The 26,042-nt window shown below is 43.8% G+C and overlaps 1 pseudogene across 1 annotated transcript; it reads left to right on the forward strand.

The window, feature by feature from the left end:
• LOC100507334 (two pore channel 3 pseudogene) lies at nt 1-20,922 on the forward strand (annotated as a pseudogene). The gene is made up of 4 exons (NR_037626.1): nt 1-156; nt 15,795-15,876; nt 17,014-17,128; nt 20,394-20,922. The product of NR_037626.1 is annotated as a two pore channel 3 pseudogene (transcript).
• Nucleotides 20,923-26,042: the final 5,120 nt, after the last annotated feature.

The following is a 26,042-nucleotide window of genomic DNA, read 5'->3' on the forward strand; positions in this document are numbered from 1 at the left end:
GGCCTGCACGAGGAGGGCAGAGTCCGTTGCGGCTGCCGCCCCGACGCCCGCGCATCCCCGCTCGCCGCGCCCGCCGCCGCGATGTCCGGGGCCGGCCTAGCCGCGGTGGTGAGCTGCCTGCGCCCGCAGCCCGGCGAGGAGCCGCAGACCCATGAGGTAAGGAGGACTTCCTGGCTGTGCTCGGAGGGCGCCCGGACGGCAGCGCCTCCTGCCCCTTCGTTGCCCTCCTGGTGCCGGGCGCCTCCGGGACTCCCAGGGAGAAAGCGAACCCGCTGGAAGCCACGGCCGGCTGCAGAGAATGAGGGCCCTTGGGGGTCAGCGGGACTAGGAACCCCTCTGCTTTCGGTCTTTCTCGGTTCCCTGCTCATTGGGCTGCTCAGCTGGGAGGCGCACCGCCAGCTAGAGCGCAGCCCGCACGTTGTAGTCAAGCGACCCGACAAGCCTCCCACTCTCCGGGGCTGAGCAGGGATCGGTGCTGGGGCTCCAGATTAGGGGCCATTCTCACTCAGTGAGGCGCGCACCCTTGTTTGGTGACCAATGCGCGTCCCCACAGAACTCCAAGGCAGCAGGAAAACGCCCGGAAAGAAGGCTGCAGGATGTGGGCCCCGGGAGTGCTGATGCAGCCCCGGGTCTTCCGATGCCTGCGGGACACAGCAGAAGGGCTGCGCAGCCGCTCAGGGTCTGTTTCGCTGCGATAGCCTGAGCTTCTTCGAAAGAGTTTGAGCTTCCAAGCGACCCTTCTTGATCTATTTTCTTGCACTGGACAAGAAGTAAGACAGTGGAGAGGGAGGCAGGACTTCAATGGCAGGAGCCCCTGCTCTGATTCAGGAAATCTGAGGCCTGAATTACAATATGATGGGCCGTCAGAAGTCATGAAGACCATGGGTGACAACGTCGGTCAGGCCCTGGCACAGTGCCTGGCACAGTGCCTGGCACAGTCATGACAGCCAATCTTTAGACCCCTCAGGGTCCATGCTGCATCTCCTTTGCGTTGTGCAAGTGTGTGGGAGGTGGAGAGCGTTTTTGTTCAGTCTCCCTCTTAGTCTTGAACTGGCCCCCTTCAGCTCTGGGCTGCTGCATTATCACCCCTGCCGCTTCCCACTGGGCTCTTGAAGCCTGCTGGAGAGGGTCCACAGGGCAGGCTTGTGTGTGGAGTTGAAAAGCTCTGCCAGTCAGGGTGAGGTGGCTCAAGGCTGTAATCCTAGCTGCTCCACAGACTGAGATGGGAAGATTGCTTGAGGCCAGGAGGTTGAGGTTGCAGTGAGCTATCACTGTGCCACTGCACTCCAGCCTGGGCAAAAGAGCAAGACCCCATCTAAAAAAAAAAAAAAAAAAAAAAAGCTCTGGTGCATACGTCTCCCTCTCTGGCCTGCAGGTCAGAGAGGTTTTGATGGAAAAACCTCCACACCAAAGGGGCTTGACCACATCCAACAGATGCATTCTACCATATGTCCTATCCCTCGAGAGAGCAGGTAAAGGAAAGGAGGGGGAAGTTCCTTTGTCCCCAGCTTTGGCCTTGCTTCTGCCATCTGAGATAACATCATTGATTGAGTCATTAAATCAGAGAAGGCATCTAGATCTTCTTCCCTCCCCAGGTTCTGACCTCGGGCACTCAATGGCCAATATAACTGGGTTAACCTTATTTAAGAATTAGTTTGGATTCATGTAACTAGAACCTGCCTAGTCACCTGAAATGCATTAACCCCCTCTCCTTTCAAATACTTATTTTTAAGACTCTTTTGTGATTGGAGTTTCTTTTTTTTTGGCTACTAAGATGGCAATCTACTTCTTTGGGGGAATTTACCAACACTTTGAACTTTGAAATAGAAAGAACCCAATGCTAGTGATTCTCAATTTTGCCATTGGTTAGCATTAGCTAAGGAGCTTTTAGGACTGTATCCAGTTCAGCCTCTACCCCTGAGATTCTGATGTAATTGATATGGATGCGTCCTGGGCAGTAGTAAGTTTCAGGCTACTGAGTGATTCAAAAGTGCCACCAGGGTTGAGAGCCTGTGTCTTATGCCATTCCTTTGTGACAGTTCTATGTTAACCTCTTGATACTTTTATGTGCTTCTTTTTGAATGTTCTTGTTCTTAAACCTGTTCGTGCAGATCCTGCATTACCCTGCTTTGCGGTCTTAATCCACTGGTGCTCCCTTTTAGCAATTTGCAGAGCTGTTGTTTGCAGTAACCAGGAGGGCTTGAGAAAGTGTTCCACTCAGGTGGTCCAAGGAGCAACATAAAGCCAGTGGGCTAGGTAGCAATGATTCAGTGAGGGAGAGGAGTGGGGTTTGTGATGACCTGATGGCATGTCCCCTGCCCAAAGAAGACCACAGCTACCCACCTCCAGTTGACCACGGCTATCATAGATTGCAAAAATGGCCAGAAAGTCTTCCCATCCCTGAATACATACCCTTTTTGCAATGTGCCTTTGCAACTCCTTATATCAAGAGGTGGGATCTGTTTCTCCAGCGCTTGAATCTGGGTTTGGCCATGAGACTTGCTTTGGCTGATGGGACATTAGTAGATGGGATACAGGCAGAGGTGTGAAAGGCACTCAGACATTGGTGCTTGCTCTCCTGATGCGCTTGGGAAACTTTGACCACGACCGGTGGAAGAGCCCTGGCTAGCCTGCTGCAGGATGCACATGGCCAAGATATGTGAGCAAGGCTGTTCTAGACCATCCAGTCCCAGATGACCACAGAGATCAGCTAAGTTGGCCCAGACCAGGACTGCCCAGCTGACCCACAGAATTGGGGAAAATAATAAGTGTTTATTTAGGTGACCAAGAATCAGGGTGGGTAGCAAAAACTTATTGAAATACAGCGCAGCATGGCTGAATGTTATAATCTTTTAAAGAGAAGCCAGAAGTTCAAATTTTTGTGTAAGCTCCAGCTTTTAAAAAATTGGAATGAGTAACCAGCATCTAAAAACACTCTCTGGGCCAAACAAAACACAACTTTAGGCTGCACTTGGCCTGTCAGTTGTTGGTTTGCTACTTTCTTTATAGAGGAACATAAGGTCTTTACCCTAACACCTCATTGCCACCTACTCAGTCACCCTTCTCCCACAACTGCTGTGCCCTGTCCTATCCCCCGCAGCTGTTTCTTCGTATAAAATGTCCACAATGTGTGTCAAGACCCCAGCTTTTCCAGGCAGTCTTTTTGTGTGGAAATAGAAGCTGCTGGGATTGCCAATCTTCATGGAGAAAGTGAAATTTGAGACAGGTGTCCAGTGAAGGAAAGTGGAAAAAATTACTCCTGGTTTTAAGTGAGCGTGAGATCAGGCACGGAGGTGGGTTCATAGAGGGACAGTGGACAAGTCCACCAATTTTGGCCAGAGAAAAGTGTTCCTATAGGGGAAGTGAGGGAGATTAAATTGGAGACAGGAGTAGAGGAGAGATTGTGGAGCCCCCAAATGCTAAGCCAAGGGTTTTGCACTCGATTGGACAAAGAGAAATCGCTTTAGGCAGAGAGAAATCACCTGATGCTTTTGAATGGGGGGGTCTCATGAGGAAAGCAGTAATCTATTCTATCAGTATGCAGGAAGAGCTTGTGGGAGGACACGGTGTACTGAGGGAGACAGAAGGTACAGTAGCCTCTCTTATCCATGGTTTTTTTGGTTTTGTTTTCTGCGGTTCCAGTTACTCTAGGTCAACTGCAGTCCAAAAATATCCAATAAAAATTTACAGAAATAAACAATTCATAAGTTTTCAATTGTGCACTGTTCTGAGTAGCATGGTGAAATCTCCGGATGTCCTGCTCTGTCCACCTGGGACGTGAATCATCTCTTTGTCCCACGTATCTATGCAGTAGACACTACCTGCCCACTAGTCACTTAGTAGCTGTTGGGTTATCAGATTGAAAAGACATAGTATATACAGGGTTTGGTACTATGCTCAGTTTCAGGAACTAACTGGGGGTCTTGGAACCTATTCTTCTCAATTAAGGGGGGACTACTGTGTAGTGTTTTTAGTAAGGAAAGGAGCATTGGAATTGGAAAGAAAAATGGAGAAGTGGAAGAATTTAACTTAAAATTTATGGGAACTTCTCTTTACCTTAAGTTATAGTTAATTATGTTAATGTTCTTACCTGTATAACCAAGACATATTGGCTGTTTTCAAAACACTTCTTCTTTTTCTTTTTTTTTTTTTTTTTTTGTTGTTGTTGTTGTTGTTGTTTTGAGATGGAGTCTTGCTCTGTCGCCCAGGCTGGAGGGCAGTGGCGCGATCTCGGCTCACTGCAAGCTCCGCCTCCCGGGTTCACGCCATTCTCCTGCCTCAGCCTCCCGAGTAGCTGGGACTACAGGCGCCCGCCACCACGCCTGGCTAATTTTTTGTATTTTTAGTAGAGATGGGGTTTCACTGGGTTAGCCAGGATGGTCTCGATCTCCTGAGCTCGTGATCCGCCCACTTTGGCCTCCCAAAATGCTAGGATTATAGGCGTGAGCCACCACACCTGACCTCAAAACACTTCTATCAACAACTTTGCATTTTGCCTAGGTTATTTTTGACTGACTTAAAGGTATTTGGGGGCTTACAATGGTTTATTACTACCACAGTTAATACTGAAGGAGACATTTGCTGGGTTCATAGAGAAGGAACTTTCTGGCTCTCTCCACTGAGAGCCTCTGGAATCTTATCTTTCCCTCCTTCCTGCATTCTTTTCACCCTCTAAGGGATTCCAAGGGATTCATCTTCCCCAGAATGAAGGCTTACTGAGTTGAGGGGTGGGGATGGAAGAGAAAACACAAAATCCTTAACAACATTTTTAAGTCTTGGGAGGAGGAAAATAAATATCACAGCTCTGAGAAGAAGAGAAAGAGAAAATCAAGAGAAGGCAATTATTGTCATGGTGCAATTAAAATAGAAAACAGGAGGGGTGCAGTGGTTGTTACCTGTGATCCCAGCACTTGGGGAGGCCAAGCTGGATGGATTGCTTGAGCCCAGGAGATTTTGAACAGCCAGGACAACATGGCAAAACCTGTCTCTACAACAAAAATTAGCTGGGCATGGTGGCGTGCACCTGTAGCTCCAGCTACTCAGGAGGCTGAGGCAGGAGAATCGCTTGAGCTTGGAGGTGGAGGCTGCAGTAAGCCATGATCATGCCACTGCACTCTAGCCTGGGCAACAGAGTAAGACCCTGCCTCAGAAAAAAAAAAAAAAAAAGAAAGGAAAGGAAAATAGAAGAAATACTAGGAAAATGGCTATATTTACATCAGTGGTTTTCAGTCTTGACTGCATGTTCAAATCATTTGTGAACTTTAAAAGATTAATCGTGGGAGGGTCCATTCCAAGATGGCCAAATAGGAACAGCTCCAGTCTGCAGCTCCCAGTGTGATCGATGCAGAAGACGGGTGATTTCTGCATTTCCAACTGAGGTACATGGTTCATCTCATTGGGACTGGTTGGACAGTGGGTGCAGCCCATGGAGGGCGAGCTGAAGCAGGGCAGGGCATCGCCTCACCTGGGAAGTGCAAGGGGTCAGGGGATTTCCCTTTCCTAGCTGAGGGAAGCTGTGAAAACTGTACCTGGAAAAACAGGACATGCCCACCCAAATACTGTGCTTTTCCAATGGTCTTAGCAAATGGCATACCAGGAGATTATATCCCGCCCCTGGCTCAGTGGGTCCCACACCCACGGAGCCTTGCTCACTGCTAGCGCAGCAGTCCAAGATCGAACTGTGAGGCTGCAGCCTGTCTGGGGGACGGGCATTCACCATTGCTGAAGCTTGAGTAGGTAAACAAAGCATCCAGGAAGCTTGAACTGGGTGGAGCCCACCACAGCTCAACAAGGCCTGCCTGCCTCTGTAGACTCCACCTCTGGGGGAAGGGCATAGCTGAACAAAAGGCAGCAGAAACTTCTGCAGATTTAAAACATCACTGTCTGAAGAGAGCAGTGGTTCTCCGAGCACAATGTTTGAGCTCTGAGAATGGACAGACTGCCTCCTCAAGTGGGTCCCTGACCCCCGTGTTGCCTAACTTGGAGACACCTCCCAGTAGGGGCCGACTGACACCTCATACAGCCAGGTGCCCCTCTGAGAGAAAGCTTCCAGAGGAAGGATCAGGCAGCAACATCTGCTGTTTTGCAATATTTGCTGTTCTGCAGCCTTTGCTGGTGATACCCAGGCAAACAGGGTCTGGAGTGGACCTCCAGCAAACTCCAACAGACCTGCAGCTGAGGGACCTGACTGTTAGAAGGAAAACTAACAAACAGAAAGAAATAGCATCAACATCAACAAAAAGGTCATCCACACCAAAAACCCATCTGTAGGTCACCATCATCAAAGACCAAGGGTAGATAAAACCACAAAGATGGGGAGAAACCAGAGCAGAAAATCTGAAAATTGTAAAATCCAGAGCACCTCTTCTCCTCCAAAGGATTGCAGCTCCTCACCAGCAACGGAACAAAGCTGGACAGAGAATGACTTTGACGAGTTGACAGAAATAGGCTTCAGAAGGTCGGTAATAACAAACTTCTCTGAGCTAAAGGAGGATGTTTGAACCCATCGCAAGGAAGCTAAAAACCTTGAAAAAAGATTAGACGAATGGCTAACTAGAATAAACGGCATAGAGAAGACCTTAAATGACCTGATGGAGCTGAAAACCATGGCACAATAACTATGTGACGCATGAAGAAGCTTCAGTAGCCAATTCGATCAAGTGGAAGAAAGGGTATCAGTGATTGAAAATCAAATTAATGAAATGAAGTGAGAAGAGAAGTTTAGAGAAACAAGAGTAAAAAGAAATGAACAAAGCCTCCAAGAAATATGGGACTATGTGAAAAGACCAAATCTATGTTTGATTGGTGTACCTCAAAGTTATGGGGAGAATGGAACCAAGCTGGAAAACACTTGTCAGGATGTTATCCAGAAGAACTTCCCCAACCTAGCAAGGCAGGCCAACATTCAAATTCAGGAAATACAGAGAACACCACAAAGATACTCCTCGAGAAGAGCAACCGCAAGATACATAATTGTCAGATTCACCAAAGTTGAAATGAAGGAAAAAATGTTAAGGGCAGCCAGAGAGAAAGGCCGGGTTACCCACAAAGGGAAGCCCATCAGACTAACAGCGGATCTCTCGGCAGAAACTACAAGCCAGAAGAGAGTGGGGGCCAATATTCAACATTCTTAAAGAAAAGAATTTTCAACCCAGAATTTCATATCCAGCCAAACTAAGCTTCATAAATGAAGGATAAATAAAATCCTTAACAGACAAACAAATGCTGAGAGATTTTGTCACCACCAGGCCTGCCTTACAAGAGCTCCTGAAGGAAGCACTAAACATGGAAAGGAACAACCGGTACCAGCCACTGCAAAAACATGCCAAATTGTAAAGACCGTCGATGCTAGGAAGAAACTGCATCAACTAACAGGCAAAATAACCAGCTAACATCATAATTACAGGATCAAATTCACACATAACAATATTAACCTTAAAGGTAAATGGGCTAAATGCCCCAATTAAAAGACACAGACTGGCAAATTGGATAAAGAATCAAGACCCATCAGTGTGCTGTATTCAGGATACCCATCTCACATGCAGAGACACACATAGGCTCAAAATAAAGGGATGGAGGAAGATCTGCCAAGCAAATGGAAAGCAAAAAAAAAGCAGGGGTTGCAATCCTAGTCTCTGATAAAACAGACTTTAAACCAACAAAGATCAAAAGAGAAAGAAGGCCATTACATAATGGTAAAGGGATCAATTCAACAAGAAGAGCTAACTATCCTAAATATATATGCACCCAATACAGGAGCATCCAGATTCATAAAGCAAGTCCTTAGAGACCTAGAAAGAGACTTAGACTCCCACACAATAATAATGGGAGACTTTAACAACCCCCTGTCAATTTTAGACAGATCAACGAGACAGAAGGTTAACAAGGATATCCAGGACTTGAACTCAGCTCTGCACCAAGCAGACCTAATAGACATCTACAGAACTCTCCACCCCAAATCAACAGAATCTACATTCTTCTCAGCACCACATCGCACTTACTCCAAAATTGACCACTTAGTTGGAAGTAAAGCACTCCTCAGCAAATGTAAAAGAACAGAAATTACAACAAACTGTCTCACAGACCACAGCGCAATCAAATTAGAACTCATGACTAAGAAACTCACTGAAAACCGCACAACTACATGGAAACCGAACAACCTGCTCCTGAATGACTACTGGGTAAATAACGAAATTAAGGCTGAAACAAAGATGTTCCTTGAAACCAACGAGAACAAAGACACAATGTACCAGAATCTCTGGGACACTTTTAAAGCAGCATGTGAGGGAAATTTATAGCACTAAATGCCCGCAAGAGAAAGCAGGGAAGTTCTAAAATCGACACCCTAACATCACAATTAAAAGAACTAGAGAAGCAAGAACAAACACATTCAAAAGCTAGCAGAAGACAAGAAATAACTAAGATCAGAGCCGAACTGAGGAAGATAGAGACAGAAAAAAAAACCTTGAAAAAATCATTGAATCCAGGAGCTGGTTTTTTGAAAAGATTAACAAAATTGATAGACCGCTAGCAAGACTAATAAAGAAGAAAAGAGAGAAGAATCAAATAGATGCAATAAAAAATGATAAAGAGGATATCACCACCGATCCCACAGAAATACAAACTGCCATCAGAGAATACTATCAATACTTCTACACAAGTAAACTAGAAAATCTAGAAGAAATGGATAAATTCCTGGATGCATACACCCTCCTAAGACTAAACCAGGAAGAAGTCGAATCCCTGAATAGACCAATAACAGGCTCAGAAATTGAGGCAGTAATTAATAGCCTACCAACCAAAAAAAGTCCAGGACCAGACCGATTCACAGCTGAATTCCACCAGAGGTACAAAGAGGAGCTGGTACCATTCCTTCTGAAACTATTCCAATCAATAGAAAAAGAGGCAATCCTCCATAACTCATTTTATGAGGCCAGCATCATCCTGATACCAAAGCCTGGCAGAGACACAACAAAAAAAGAGAATTTTAGACCAATATCCCTGATGAACATCGGTGCGAAAATCCTCAATAAAATACTGGCAAACTGAATCCAGCAGCACATCAAAAAGCTTATCCACCAAGATCAAGTTGGCTTCACCCCTGGGATGCAAGGCTGGTTCAACATACACAAATTAATAAATGTAATCTATCACATAAACAGAACCAAAGACAAAAAACACACAATTATCTCAATAGATGCAGAAAAGGCCTTTGACAAAATTCAACATCCCTTCATGCTAAAATCTCTCAATAAACTAGGTATTGATGAAATGTATCTCAAAATACTAAGAGCTATTTATGACAAACCCACAGCCAATATCATACTGAATGGGCAAAAACTGGAAGCATTCCCTTTGAAAACTGGCACAAGACAGGGATGTCCTCTCTCGCCACTCCTATTCAACATAGTGTTGGAAGTTCTGACCAGGGCAATCAGGCAAGAGAAAGAAATAAGGGGTATTCAATTAGGAAAAGAGGAAGTCAAATTGTCCCTGTTTGCAGATGACATGATTGTATATTTAGAAAACCCCATCATCTCAGCCCAAAATCTCTTTAAGCTGATAAGCAACTTCAGCAAAGTCTCAGGAAACAAAATCAATGTGCAAAAATCACAAGCATTTCTATACACCAATAACAGACAGAGAGCCAAATCATGACTGAACTCCCATTCACAATTGCTACAAAGAGAAAAAAATACCTAGGAATCCAACTTACAAGGGACGTGAAGGACCTCTTCAAGGAGAACAACAAACCACTGCTCAATGAAATAAAAGAGGACACAAACAAATGGAAGAACATTCCATGCTCATGGACAGGAAGAATCAATATTGTGAAAATGGCCATACTGCCCAAGGTAATTTATAGATTCAATGCCATCCCCATCAAGCTACCAATGACTTTCTTCACAGAATTAGAAAAAACTACTTTAAAGTTCATATGGAACCAAAAAAGAGCCCTCATTGCCAAGACAATCCCAAGCAAAAAGAACAAAGCTGGAGGCATCACGCTACCTGACTTCAAACTATACTACAAGGCTACAGTAACCAAAACAGCATGGTACTGGTACCAAAACAGAGATATAGACCAATGGAACAGAACAGAGGCCTCAGAAATAACACCACACATCTACAACCATCTGATCTTTGACAAACCTGAGAAAAACAAGCAATGGGGAAAGGATTCCCTATTTAATAAATGGTGCTGGGAAAACTGGCTAGCCGTATGTAGAAAGCTGAAACTGGATCCCTTCCTTATGCCTTATACAAAAATTAATTCAAGGTGGATTAAAGGCTTAAATGTTAGACCTAAAACCATAAAAACCCTAGAAGAAAACCTAGGCAATACCATTCAGGACATAGACATGGGCAAGGACTTCATGACTAAAACACCAAAAGCAATGGCAACAAAAGCCGAAAGAGACAAATGGGATCTAATTAAACTAAAGAGTTTCTGCACAACAAAAGAAAATGCCATCAGAGTGAAAAGGCAACCTACAGAATGGGAGAAAATTTTTGCAATCTAGCCATCTGACAAAGAGCTAATGTCCAGAATCTACAAATAACTTAAACAAATTTACAAGAAAAAATCAAACAACCCCATCAAAAGGTGGGCAAAGGATATGAACAGACACTTCTCAAAAGAAGACATTTATGCAACCAACAGACACATGAAAAAATGCTCATCATCACTGGTCGTCAGAAAAATGCAAATCCAAACCACAGTGAGATTCCATCTCACACCAGTTAGAATGGCAATCATTAAAAAGTCAGGAAACAACAGGTGCTGGAGAGGATGGGGAGAATAGGAATGCTTTTACACTGTTGGTGGGAGTGTAAATTAGTTCTACCATTGTGGAAGACAGTGTGGCGATTCCTCAAGGATCTAGAACTAGAAATACCATTTGACCCAGCAATCCCATTACTGGGTATATACCCAAAGGATTATAAATCATGCTACTATAAGGACACATGCACACATATGTTTATTGTGGCACTATTCACAATAGCAAAGACTTGGAACCAACCCAAATGTCCATCAGTGATAGACTGGATTAAGAAAATGTGGCACAAATGCACAATGGAATACTATGCAGCCATAAAAAAGGATGAGTTCATGTCCTTTGTAGGGACATGGATGAAGCTGGAAACCATCATTCTGAGCAAACTATCGCAAGGACAGAGCACCAAACACCATATGTTCTCACTCATAGGTGGGAGTTGAACAATGAGAACACTTGGACACAAGACGGAGAACGTCACACACTGGGGCCTGTCATGGGTTGGGGGGATGGGGGAGGGATAGCATTAGGAGAAATACCTAATGTAAATGACGAGTTAATGAGTGCAGCAAAACAACATGGCACATGTATACATGTGTAACCTGCACGTTGTGCACATGTACCCTAGAACTTAATAATAATAATTAAAGATTAATCCTGGGTTCTACCTCCCAGAGGTTCTGATGCAGTTGGGGTCTGCATGTGACCTGGACTTCAGTAGGATCTTTAAAAGTTGTTAAGATGATTGTCATATGCTGTGGGGATTGAGAATCACCACTCCCACAGTTGCCAATGCCTCCCATAGTTGGGATGCTGTTTTGAGGTTTGCAGCCACATTTAAGCTGCATCTGGGGAAACATCTGCTATTTGGTCTTTGCTATTTTCATGGTAGATATGGACAGTGGTTCGCATGTAAACTTGAAAAGTATGTGAAGTTGTGGAATTGGGTGTCTAACATAATCCACATTCTTGGGTTGGGTAAAAACAGTTTGTTTTATGGGAAAATACAAATGGCCTTAGTTCAAATAAACATGCTTATTACAGTAAAGTCTGTCTTCTAAGAGTACCGCTTCCCACACGGAACGCAGGACACTTAGAAGTTGCGCACAAATGGGAGGGAGGAGGAGAAGGAAGGCAATTAGAACCAAAGCATAAAGGAGATGCGATTTTAAAAGGAGATAGATGTCAGAAATGTAATACCAGTTAAGAATGGGAAAGCTTTGAAACGTTAGTGTAAGGGTGAAATGGCTATTATGATAGAATCAGCAGATTTTAAAACAGCAAGGATGAGTTCAGATGGCAGTTGGTGGGGGTGATGAGGTGCTGGTCATTCAATGTCTGGGGTCTGGGATCTGTCTCATGGAGATGACCCCGAGGGCCTGACTGGCTGAGGCATTGCTGGTGAGTGTTTTTTTCCTTTCTCTACCTGGAGGGCATATGAAGGATGCATCTCAAATCCGTGAGTGTTGAACTGCTTATGTTTGTGGACAAATGGCCTCACTGGGACTGTAAGGATGTTTGTAGCATCACTGGGGACAACAGTGGCCTTAAAAGATCTTTGCCAGAAATTTTTTTAAAAAGCCTCAATGTCAGAACTCTTCAAGTATGATCTTTTTGAGGCTTAATGGAATTTTCTTAAAGTTGGTGTGTGTTCATTAAAAAAAAAAAATCAACTCTTGCTGATGCGAGGCATTTTCTACCTAAAATATATTTCTAAGCATGTCCTGGGAACTGTATTCTTCCTCAGTGTTAAAGATTTTCAATGAAAAAAATAATTGATATTAATGGTTTTCCTACTAGAATGTTTTTTAAATATGTAAAAGAAAAATGTTTGGCTGGGCATTGTGGGTCACGCCTGTAATCTCAGCACTTTGGGAGGCCGAGGTAGGCGGATCACTTGAGGTTAGGAGTTTGAGACCAGCCTGGCCAACATGGTGAAACACTGTCTCTACTAAAATTAGAGAAACTAGACTGGCATGGTGGTGCGTGCCTGTAATCCCAGCTACTCAGGAGGCTGAGGCAGGAGAATCGCTTGAAACCGGGAGGCAGAGTTTGCAGTGAGCCGAGATTGTGCCACTGCACTCCAGCCTGTGTGACAAAGTGAAACTCTATCTCGAAAAGGAAAAAAAAAAGAAAAATGTGTGATAAGTGTTAAACACATTTACATGGTGCTTCTTAGATTTTAATAAACTGCCTGTAAGAATTGCCATACCAACCCTGAGCATACCTGTTACTCAAAAAGCGATCGGCTCTTACGGTAGTTAATTCATCTATGAGATTATTGTTCTACATCAACTTTTTTAATCCAAGTATTTGTCTTTCATTTTGGGCATTTTAACAGCTTTTTTAGATTATAATAGACATACACTAAACTACATTTATTTGAAGTATGCAGCTTGATGAGTTTTGGTGTATGAATGCCCTTGGGATAGTAATGCCATGATAAGAATAATGAACATATCAGTCACCCCTATATGTTTTCTTATGCCTATTTGTAATCTCTCTCTCTCTCAGTTCTCTTCGTTCCACTCTTTTTTTTTTTTTTTTTTTTTGAGACGGAATCTCTCTCTGTCGCCCAGGCTAGAGTGCAATGGCACAATCTCGGCTCGCTGCAACCTCCGCCTCCCGAGTTCAAGCTATTCTCCTGCCTCAGCCTCTCAAGTAGCTGGGATTACAGGTGCATGGCACCATGCCCGGCTAGTTTTTGTATTTTTAATAGAGACGGGGTTTCGTCTTGTTGGCCAGGCTAGTTTCAAACTCCCGACCTCAAGTGATCTGCCCACCTCAGCCTCCCAAAGTGCTGGGATTATAGGCATGAGCCACCATGCCCAGCCTGTTCCCATCTTCCTCCTCCTGCCAACACACGACCACTGATGCGGGTTCTGTCACTGTAGGTTAGTTTTCATTTTCCAGAATTTTATGCAGATGGAATCATACAGTGAGTACTCTTTTCGGGGGGTGGTTGGCTTCTTTCACTCGGCACAGTTATTTTGAGATTCATCCATTTTGTTACATCTATTAGTTACTCATTCCTTTTTATTGCTGAGTAGTATTCCATTGTAGAGATACAGTACACTTTGTTTATCCACTCACCTGTCTGTGGACATTTTGGTTTCTAGTTTTGGGCTGTTAAGCTGGGATGAACGTATGTGTATGTGTGCAGCTTTGGGATGAGGTGTCTAACATGAGCCACATACTTGGGGTGGATGTACTAGTCTTTGTGTGGACATATGCTGTCTTTCCTTTTGGAAAACACTTCAAAGTAGCATGGCTGGGTCATACTTTTTAACGTTTTAAGAAACTACCAAACTGTCTTCCAAAGTAAATGTGCCATTTTCTATTCCAACCAGCAACGTATGAGAGTTCCAGTTGCTCCACATCTTTGGCAAAACTTGCAAATATAAAAGGAATTTTGTGTTTTGTGTTTATATGTATATAAATATATAATGTAGTGTAAATACACATAGTATATAATTTTGTGTTACAGATTTGTTTGTATGTATATGTATATATACAGTAATGCGTCACTTAACAACAGGGATATATTCTGAGAAATGGATCACTAGGGGATTTCATCATTGTGCAAATATCATACAATGTACTTACACAAACTTAAATGGCATAACTTACTAGACACCTAGGCTGTAGACTATTTTTCTAGGCTACAAACCTGTAGAGCATATTACTGTACTGAATATGGCAGGTAACTGTAACACAATTGTGTATTCGTGTATCTCAACATAGAAAAGGTACAGTAAAAATATGGTATAAAAGGTAAAAGATGAATAGGGCACTTCCCATGAATGGAGCTTGCGGGACTGGCAGTTGTCCTGGGTAAGTCAGTGAATGAGTGGTGAGTAAATGTGAAGGTCTAGGAATCACTGCACACTACTGTAGACTTTAGAAACACTGTACAGTTGACTACATTTATAAAAAATATTTTTCTTTCTTCAATAACAAATTAACCTTAGCTTACTATAAATTTTCTACTCTATAAACGTTTTGATTCTTTTGCAATAGCAGCTTAAAACACATTGCATAGCTATACTAAATATTTTCTTTCTTTATATCCTTATCCTATAAGCTTTTTTCTATTTTTAAACTTAAAAAATGTTAACTTCATAAACTCTTTATTAAAAACTAAGACACAAACGTATGCATTGGCCTAGGCCTACACAGGGTCAGGACCCTCAATATCACTGTCTTCCACTTCTGCATCTCGTCCCACTGGAAGGTCTTCAGGGGCCATAACACTTATGGAGCTGTCACCTCCTGGAATAACAATGCCTTCTTCTGGAATCCTCCTGAAGGACTTGCCTGAGGCTGTTTTACAGTTAACTTTTTTTTTTAATAAGTAGGAGTGCAATCTAAAATAACCATAAAAAGCATAGTGTAGTAAATACATAAACCAGTAACATAATCATTTATTATCATTATCAAATATTATGTACCATACATAATTGTATGTGCTAGAATTTTATACGACTGGCCGTGGAGGTTTGTTGACACCAGCATCACCACAATTTTGTATTTTGTTGTGCTATGACCTCACTAGGTGGTAGGAATTTTTCAGCTCATTATAATCTTATGGGAACCCTGTTATATATGTGGTTCATTGTTGACCAGAATGTTATGGGGCACATGACCGTATATATATTTGTATATACATGTGTACCTAACCATATATTAATATATGTATGTATGAATATACCATTTAGGTACAAATACATGCTCTAGTCAATGCTTATTTACATTTCCTCTGAGAGCCTATATTTGAATTCAAGAAAGTGGAGTGTGTCTGGACCTGGTCCCACTGCAGGATTCTCGGTGCTCAAAGAGACATTGGAGGTGTGGAGACAACACTGTTTAGATGTTGGCTACCTCTGGGAGAGTGGGTCTGTGGAGAGGCGAAGGGGAGCTTCCTTTTATACTCAGTGCATACTTAACAAAGGAAAAAGAAAAGTATCCTCTCCTCCTCTGACTTGGTCTCCCTTACTCTGTCTCAATGGGGAACAGGACCTTCTCCTGGCAGCTGCCTATGTTTTGGATGCCCAGTACAACAGAAATGTTCCATTTGAAACTCACCTCAGGCCATCAGGTAACTAACATGTTAAACCATCATGTGGAACCACCTGTCCTTCAGCACTTGATACTCTTGAACTTGAACCCAAACTGAAGGCATTGTTTACACAGATATTTTGAGAAGTATATAGGGTACAGCACATAGATTTGGACGTAATCCAATACTTTTTTTTTTTTTTTTTGAGACAGGGTCTTGCTTTGTTGCCTGGGCTGGAGTTCAGTGGTGTGATCATGGCTCACTGCAGCCTTGAACTCCTGGGCTCAAGTGATCCTCCCACCAAGGCCTGGGATTAGATATGTGAGCCACCATGCCTGGCTGAATTTTTTTTTTTTTTTGAGTTATAAGAGCATGGGCCTCACACGCAGGGAAGCATTCAATAAATAGATTAAGATCAGACAAATGAGTAAAATGAGCAATACCCAGCATAGAAGCTAGGGCATTCAAGGGAAGAACTTGCCATTGTCTTTTCCTTTTATGTCATCCTCTTAGAGTTACCTCAAGTGAAAAGGCTTTTTTGTCCTGTCCATTGTTTTGTGATGCAATCCATATGTTTGCTCTTCTCATGGGAATTCAGCTTTTTCTCTGTCACCCCCTACAGGTGCTCAGCCTGTTTATCACTAGGGCTCAGCCTCAGGGCCTCCCAAGGCAGCCAATACCTCATCCCTGGATGTTGCCGAGCATGTTTGGGGTACTGTCCCCACCTGGGGAGAGACTGGCATGACCTTTTGCCAGATCTCTTCTGAGTCTATCATGTTAAGATGGGATGATGTACATTTTAAAATTGGGTTAGGCCACCATGCCACATCATAATAGGCCACTTTAACTGAGGGTTTAATCTGTGTCCGTCACTGTTCAAGTCCTCTGCAAGTATTCTCTTATTACTATCACAACAACCCCATGGGAAGGTATAATCTTAGCTTGAGACTGTTAAGAAAATGTGCTTTGAGTTATGATCATATGCTTGATTTTTTTGTGTTAGTGTTTATAGTATATGATCATTAAATACTGCCTCCTGCTCCCTAGAATTTAAAGGAAACATGACTAAGCCTTAACTTTCTTATTTTACCCAGCATTAGTTCTTTAAAGAGATGTTTGGGTGCTGTGTAGCTCCTGTTCGTTGTTTATAATCACTTTTGTCTTTTTCTCCTCCAGACGTTACTATTTTTATAACCACTAGACAACGCAGGTTGCCGCATACTTCTTTATTTGTGTAGACCTCGCTCTTGCCCTGTTTGAAGAGTCTGAGTTGCTTCCCCTGCCTTTCTTGGTAAGCAAGCCATAGCAGATGGCTAGCCAGATTTGGTCATAGATGATTGGGCCTTGTGCCTCTTCTTTTTTTCCCCTCAAATTTCAACAAATATGAATTAGATGTTATTTATTTTTTTTGCTGGGGGATTAGAGAAGTTCTGTCTACTCACCAAACACATGCTTCCTTCATAACGCATTTTAAGTGCAGTGGGAGATTTTGGTCTTCTGTGCACACACACACAAAATCAGAGATGGTTCAATGATGTTTTCAAAGCCAATTTACTTACTGCCAAGTAGATGATGTTCTCATATAGTGTAATATGCAACTTGTACATGCCACATTTTCAGCTTTTTTTCATAGTCATAAATTATTAGAGTATTTATTGGTGCTTAGGGGCTGATCACATTTGATTTTGAGTAATGTATCAAATTCACCAGCCAATCCAGAGAGGTCTAAATAGTAGACCAGTGCCCTGCCCATGTTGATTTCTGATTCGTCATTACTCTTACCTCTGTCTTAATAGCTGTCATTTGCTCCCTGCTTGCTATCTGCTGGGTGATCTCATGCTTTCTCTGTATTCTCCTTAAGCCTTACAGGGACTCAATGGGATGTGCCTGCTGTTATTATACCCATTTTAACAGATAAGGAAGCTGAGCCTAGAAAGATTGTATAACTTGTCCAAGGTTACTAGGCAACAAAGGCAGAACTAGGCTTCAAGCCTAAGCCTGATTTCAAAGCTTTTGCTTTTTAACAACCACACAGACCCTTTTTTATTCTACCTTATTTCAGTTATCAATTGCACAAACATATTTACAAACCATCCTAAAACTCAAACACTTAAAACAAGGGTTGGGAAACCATGGCCTGTGGGACAAATTCAGCTGCTGCTTATTTTTGTACAGCCTATGAGCTAAGAATGGTGCTACAAATGGAATGTTTGTGTGTTCCCAAAATTCGTATTTCAAAACCTAGTCCCAGTGTGGAGGTATTTGGAGGTGATCAGATCATGAGGGCAGAGCCCATCTCATGAATGGGATTAGTCCCCTCATAAAAGATGCTTCAAGGAGCTCCCTTGCCCCTTCTGTCAAGTGAGAACGCCACAAAAAAATGGCTGTCTGTGAACCAGAAAGTGGGCCCTCATCAGACACCAAATTTGACAGTGCTTTGATCTTGGACTTCCCAGCCTCCAGAGCTGTGAGAAATAAATTTCTGTTGTTTATGAGCCACCCAGTCTATGGTATTCTTTTATAGCAGCCTGATCAGACTAAGACAAATAGTTTTTACATTTTAAAATGACTAGGAAAAAGGACACTGAAGATTAATATTTTGTGACACATGGAAGTGATATGAAATACAAATTTTGCTGTCTGCAAATAATGTTTTATGGGAACATAGCCACACTTATTAATTTATGTGTTGTCTTTGGCTGCTTTGGAGCTACATCAACAGTTTAGTGGTTGTGACAGAGACTGTAAGACTTGCAAAGCTTCACATGTTTACTTTAACAGAAAGAGTTCACTAACCCCTAGCTTTAGAGAACAACAGCCTTTTATTATCTCCCATGACTCTGTGGGACATTGGCTCAGGTGGTGTGGCTGGGGTGGTAGATGTCTGGAAGCTCTTAGATCTCTGGAGGCTGGAACATCAAGGTAGCTCTCTCACGTGGCTGGCAGGAGCTGCTGGCTGTAGCTGTGGCCCCGGCCCTCTTCTATGTAGCTGCTCCACGTGGCTTAGGCTTTTCCCAGTGGGTGGCTGGGTCCAGGAAGGAGCATCCCAGTGTGCTGCACCATCAAACCTCTGCTTGCATCACACTTGCTGATGTCCTGTTGTCAATCACATGCCAAAACCTGAGTCAACTTGGGAGGCCACTGCAAAGGGGGTGAAAACTGTAAGTATGGCTCACTGGGGCTGCCCAAGTGACATCCACCAACTGTCTTACAATAAAGATCCGGCAATTAATGAATTCTCTGGATAGAAGACTTTTATCCCAATAACAGTCAACACAAACACAAAATCTGAAGAAACAGAGCTGTGCATTCACAAACCTGGACAGAGTGTTGTCTATCCCTCCTTAGCACTGGTCCACTCTGGCCAAGGTAGGAATCCCACAGAGTGGTCTTCTTAGCCATTTGCCTCTTTTCCTGAGTCCTCATCCCCTGTCTGTTATTGGTCATGTATAACTTTGGGTTGGCTGCCTGAGTTTCAGAGTGTTCCTTCAGCCAGCCCTTGTACTGTAAATCTCCAAAGTCCAGTGTGTTCTGAGGGCTTTGGCCCCCATCCAGCATTACCACGCAAGTCTTGTTTTAAGCAAGGATGTCCTGAAATTGCCTAAGGCCCTTTTGCAAAGCTGGACTTGACATTGGGTCTCTATAGCTCTTCAAGAGTCAACAGACTGAGAGCTAGAACATTTGCAAGGGGCTGCAGCCCAGTCTGTGCACAGACCCATGAGGGCTGGAACTAGGGGGCAATGATAGTGTCCCCTGCTGCTTTCAGGCCCACAGCCAGCCCCTTCCTCCTGTCTCTAGCTCTCACTCAAGACTTTTCCCTCTTTTTAGCCTAAGTCAAGTTGTCCCTTTCTCCATCTCTTCCTATCTTCCACCTGTCTCTCCCTATTGATGGAGGAACGTGCCCTTGTTAGGAAGTTGTTACTGCATCCCAACAGCCTCAGGCAAACCTTGGGCTGCAGTCATGGGCTTCAAGTCTAGCAGGTACAGGAGTCTGGAGTTGGCACCCGTAATCTACAGAGGGAGGCCCATCAGGACTTCGGTCTTGATCTCAGTGGGCTCCATCCTCGTCTCTAACCAGCCTCATATAGGCAGCAGGGCTGCAGTGGCAGTGATGTTTATGGAAGGACCCATTATTCCCAAACACATCTTTGGGGAATTACCTTACCGTTAGAGAAATGGGACTTCTAGGTGTCTGGAATTTGAACATGGGGAATTTGAGAGCATAGACGATCTCTGCCTCTGACCTCCCCCTTTTCTGGGGAAATGTGTTCTTGGTCCTCAGCCTGCTGGTGCAGCCCCTCCCAGGAATCCCTGCCAGTGTGGGTCATGGAGATTGTGACTCAGTGGCAGATTTCCCTTTCAGAGGAAAAAGCCATTCTAACCGGCAGAAAATGTTGCTGCAATTTTCAGTAAAATTAAGGGACATGGCAAATTCTCAGAGGGTGCCAGGCAGGAAAGGTAGGGTAGTGGCAGGGGACAGGGGGTGGTACTGGATAACTAAAGCTGAGCCTCCCCATGGCAAGCCCTCGTGCTCAGCCTCTGTTTTCTCCTTGCAGGCCACCTCAATAGCAGAAGTACTCTGCCTGACTGCATACTTTGGCAGACTGGTACATTTTGCAAAAGTCACTCCTCAAATGGTTTTCTGGAAGGATACAAAAGACATCTGCACCATGGTAACCACAGTGGCGAGTGTTCATTGTAGTACCTGTAAGAGTTTATGACCGAAGGCAGGAGCCATGAAGAAAAAAGACTCAATAGATTTGCTTTTGATGAAACAACAACACTTCCATACAGTGAACGCCATAAGCACAACTGCAAGCAAACCCCAAACTGAAGAACAAATAGGGCAAAATGTGGCAGTGCAGACATTTCAGCATATCAAGAGCACTTCCAAATTACAGGAAAAAAAAGATATCTCAATAGATAATTTTGCTGAAGATAAGTGAAGGCAACTCATAAGGAAAAAATATGTAAAATGGCCGATAGGAAAGATGTTTAACGTCACTAATTAAAAATTATAGAATAAAACGACAATAAAATACCATGTGTTTGCCTATAAAAAATCTTAGCAAGATTGAAAACAAACTTTTTGTAATTTCAATTTTTAGTTTAGATTCAGGTGGTACATGTGCAGGTTTGTTACATGGGTATATTTCGTGATGGTGAGGTTTGGGGTACAACTGATCCCATCACTCAGGTAGTGAGCCTAGAATCCAGCAGGTAGTTTTTCAACCCTTCCCCTCCTCTGTCCCTTCCCCTCAGGAATCCCCAGTGTCTACTGTTGCCATCTTTGTGTCCATGAGTACCCAGTGTTTAGCTCCTACTTATAAGTGACAACATGCAGTATTTGGTTTTCTGTTCTCTGTTAATTCACTTAGGATGATGGCCTCTGGCTGCATCCATACTACTGCAAAGGACATAATTTCATTCTTTTTAAATGACTGCATAGTATTCCATGGTGTATATGTACCACATTTTCTTTGCCTAACCCACCATTGATGAGCACCTAAGTTGCTTCCATGTCTTTGCCATAAAACAAATGTTCTTACACCCTACAAGAGAGAGGAATAAAACTGTCTTTCTGGAAGGCTCTTTGGCAGCTCCTTTCAAAAGCCTTGAAGGTGAATATATTTTAACCCTGGACTTCCATTCCTGGGAATTTATCTGTAGGAAAGAAGGATGCATTCAGAGATTTAGCCACAAAATTGGTGGTGGCTGACGGTTTATAATATTGAAAAATTGGAAACAACCTGATTTCCAGACAAAAATTATAAGACATATGTCTTAAGTAGAATGTGATATATTCATGCAGCCTCCTGTGCTGTCCTCTCACTCCTTTGCTCCATCTGTTATTTGAAAGGCCCTGGGAATGAGACCTGCCTTTTTAGCCTGGCCTGCAAAGCCACCTTCCATAGGTCCTTATCACTTTCTGCTGCTTCCCTTTGCCACCACTCCCAGGACCCTCTGCTTCCCAACATGCCAGCCCAGTACTTCCTCAAGAGTCCTTTTATTCTATCTTCTTGTCTAGCTCTTGACCTTCCTGAGTTTTTATTAAAGCTCTGCTGTGCTGTAGGTTACATCAAAGAGTGCCTCCTCCATGAAGCCCCTCAAATATCTTAACCCTTGGTGATCCACCTGTCCTCGCTCCCCTGGGACAGCCACACTGGTTTCCTCCAGTGCGGCAGTTGTGAACCAGCCTCATTTCTTAGCTGTTTCCCCCGCCTGTGGGCGGCAAGCCACTCAGGTGCCAAGGCAAGAGACTGAAGGCAAAAACTGTTCCAGTATAATAAAGAAAATATACAGAATAAGAATAGTTATACTAGAAATAGATTATAGATATGATTATATATGAATATCATTAATCATTAGTTTGTTAACATTACTCTTTATTCCAATATTATAATAATCTTTGTTCTACAATTATAACTTAGGAAAAGCCAGGCCATACAGAGATAGGAGCTGAAGGGACACGGTGAGAAGTGACTGGAAGACAAGAGCGTGAGCCCTCTGTTACGCCTGGAAAAGGCCACTAGAGGGCTCCCTAGTCTAGCGGTAACGCCAGCACCTGGGAAGACGCCCCTTACGTAGCGGACCTCGGTCTAGCGGTAGCGTCAGTGCCAATGGAAGGCACTATGGAGTCTCCCTTTCCTTGGGGGAGTTAGAGAAGACTGCTGTACCACCTCTTGTGGAAGGCCTGACATCAGTCAGCCCCGCCCACAGCCATCTGGAGCCCGGAACGTCTCCCTGTGATGCTGTGCTTCAGCGGTCACGCTCCTGGTCCACTTTCATGTTCCACCCTGTACACCTGGCTCTGCCTTCTAGATAGCAGTAGCAGAATTAGTGAAAGTACTAAAAGTCTTTGAAATGCATAGAAGAAATAATGGCATAAGCTGTCCTCTCTCTCCGCCTTACTGCCAAACAGGGAGGGCCCCCTGTCCGGTGGACACGTGACTCATGTGACCTTATCAATCATTGGAGATCACTCACACTCCTTACCCTGCCCCTTTTGCCTTGTGTCCAGTAAATACCAGCACAGCCAGGTATTTGGGGCCACTATAGGTCTCCGCGTCTAGGTGGTAGTGGTCTCCCGGGCCTAGCTGTCTTTTCTTCTCTTTGTCTTGTGTCTTTATTTCTACGATCTCTCATCTCTGCACACGAGGAGAAAAATCCACAGACCGTGTAGGGCTGGACCCTACACCCGCCCCGTGCGGCGTGCCCTTTGAGGGGAAGGAGCTCACTAGATCCTCTGTGCCTTACCACCAAAGGGGCTAAATTCAAGTTTTTTTGATGATGGTACATTGTTCTTTTCTACTTATATTTTTCTAAAATACACTAGGTTCTTCTTTTGGCCATCTTCACCTTAATCTCTTGCCCATAAACCTGACATTAATAAAGATTAATAGGGGTTGTCTGTATTCTAGATATTCTCATCTCTGTTACTAGGCTACACCTCCTTTCTTTTACATGTCAAATTGAAGAGAAGGTCAATAGGGTGTAGTGTGGAAGGATGTCCCAGTGTGATTAATAGCAAGGGCTGAGCCCTCAGACTGTCTGGGTTCCAGTCCCAGCTCTGCCCTGGATAGCTGTGTGATCAGGGGCTACATGCTTACCCTCTCTGTGCCTCAAGCTCCTCCTCCAGGAATAGTGCCCACCTAATTGGTGTGGTGAGTCTAAAATCATCTACAAGAGGTGCTTGTTATAGTACATGGAACACAGTAAAACGTCAAACATTAGTTATTATTAATGTCGTATTACAAAAGTGGTACTATGCTGTCTATGAAACGTGCTTTTTCACATAACATTGTACCTCTCCTGGGTTGGTGAACACCCATCCACTGTCCTTGGACAGTGTAATACTGACATCTCTGGCCTGTGTCTCTCACAGCTGACCTTGATCGATCTGATTATCTGTGGGTCCCTGGAAGCTATTAACATCCACAGCATCAGATGGTCAAGGGCCTTAAGGCCGGTCTTCCTAATTAACTTCCCTGAAAGTCGTCAGGTAAGCATATGATTTAGGATACGTGATGGTTTGTTTTTGCCGAAAGTTAGCTGGTTTCTTGTAAGTAAAGTAACATTTTGTCTCCATAGATCTGCAGGGCTTTCCAAAGCCTCCAGAACACCCTGCCCAATATCCTCTATGTCTTCTATTGTTCATGTTCAGTGTGCTGATGTTCTGCCTGATGGCCTTGAAGCTTTTTGGGAATCGATGAGCACACTTCTCTGGAAGTTTCTGCCTGGGAATTCTCCCATATTTAGGTTGAGCCTGTTGGCGGCACAGTCTGTCACCAAACACAATCTTCCATGTTCAAACACTGCAGGAGTGCTCTTGAAAGGGAAAAAGTGTATCAGTGTATTAATTTACGTGTGTGGTTTTCACTTTATGTTTTTGGTTCCTCTTTAGTGGTCTGAAAACAGCAGAGGGATCGCCTTAGTTTGAAAACATTCTGGAGATAGCATTTGAGCTCTACGTGCTGGTCACTACAGCGAACAGCCCTGACATCATGTCCTCGCATCCTTGATCCGTGTTCATGAACATCTTTTACCATAACAGAATTCACACTATTCAAAGCGGCTGTCTCCTGACTCTAGTAGGGCTGTGAGAGGACAAAGAGTGATTTTCTGTTTAGTCCTATTCACTGTAAAAGTTTTGAAGAATATAAAATTTTACACCACTAGTAGCCTATCCTCTCTACTTAACACTAAATTTAAATGAATTCTTTCAAAATGGAAAGGAACAGGAGACATCTCTTGAGATACAATTCTTAATATTTGAGCCCACTTTCTATTCTGGAATCTTCTTTGAGTCTTGAATTTAAAGACATAAGCCATCTTTGTAAAGGAATCATGTCTGGTTCTCCTAAGCATTGATGCAGTTTTTTGGCTACATCAAACAGGAAATAAATGTAAACATCACTAATTGTTGGGGTGATCAGACCCAACACCAGGTTGTGGGGGTGACAAAGTCCGGCGGAGTCAAAGGATTGAGAAAAGACAGTTTGAGAGACAGAAGTGGGACCAAGGGGCCATCGCAATCATGGAGGCTGCAAAGGCCCCAAGCTCTGGGAGCCCAGTGCTATTTATTGGTAATCCAGCAAAGAAACAGGTGGTGAGAATGTGGAGGTTGAAAGGGCGCATTGCATTAATCACATGATTTACACCTGTGATGGTTTAGCATTTGCTCTGCTACTTGAGATAATGGAGAGCATGTTCTTTTAACTCAAGATACAGTCGATCCTGGGAGAGCAAGGAGCATGGAGCCAGCAAGTGTAGACACGTTCCAGAGCCACGAGCCCTGGATTCTATCCAAGTCACGAGGGGTTTTATGCCCTGGGCTTAGATTATGGTGCATCAGGGTAGCCTTCCACCCTTTAGCACAGAGCTTGGTGTTCCAAAGGCCACAAGGGGTTTTAGACCCTGGACCCCAGACATGTTCCAAGACTCTTTTACCTTATGTCAGACTTGCAAGCCCTGCCTCAGCTTCTCCCAACACTCAGCTTTTTCCCAACAGTAATTGCCACCTTGCTTGCAAAATGCCAATTCTCCACACGTGTGGAAATTACTTAGGAGAAAAACCTCATGGAATGACTTCTTGTTATGGATTTACCTCATGCATAAGGGTAAAGTTATTAAGTGGTACTGCACAGAGTAGCTAGCTCTCCAGCTCTAGAGAGTGGGCAGAGCCTCACTGCAAACGTCAGTCCACATCTGCTCCAATAGTGACCTCAGAGAGGCAGGTTTTCTGTCATCTTGTGATGTGTAGGTTCATCAGATCAACTTGTTCTTGGTTGTTGCTCACTCTTGGGCCTGGCCTTGGCCCTGGCCCTGCTTATGTTCTCTTGGGTCTTTCCTCAGACCCCTGGCTGACAGCCTAGCCAGCACCCCTTGACGTCCCCTCCTGTAGGAAATTAAGTTTCCATTAAAGGTAGAGTGAGCACCTGTCACAACTTGCCCTTCCACAGTTATCACCGGGTACCTTTCATGCATCGTCCCCTGGGTGGTTAGAATATGATCTGGCCCCAGCCAAGGCAGTTGGGTGTTCCACACAGCAAGGATTACCTGACTTTGCAGTGCACAGCCCTCTTCCCAGCCATGCTTCTTATTCTCTTTGTAATTCCTAGCAAGTCACTGTCCTTTCTAGGCCTCAATTTTCTCATTGTGGAGGGAGAAAACTGAATTGGGAGATCACTAAGGTCCTGCCACTG

Source organism: Homo sapiens, chromosome 2, assembly GCF_000001405.40.
Source record: "Homo sapiens chromosome 2, GRCh38.p14 Primary Assembly".
Classification (NCBI taxonomy): Eukaryota; Metazoa; Chordata; class Mammalia; order Primates; family Hominidae; genus Homo; species Homo sapiens.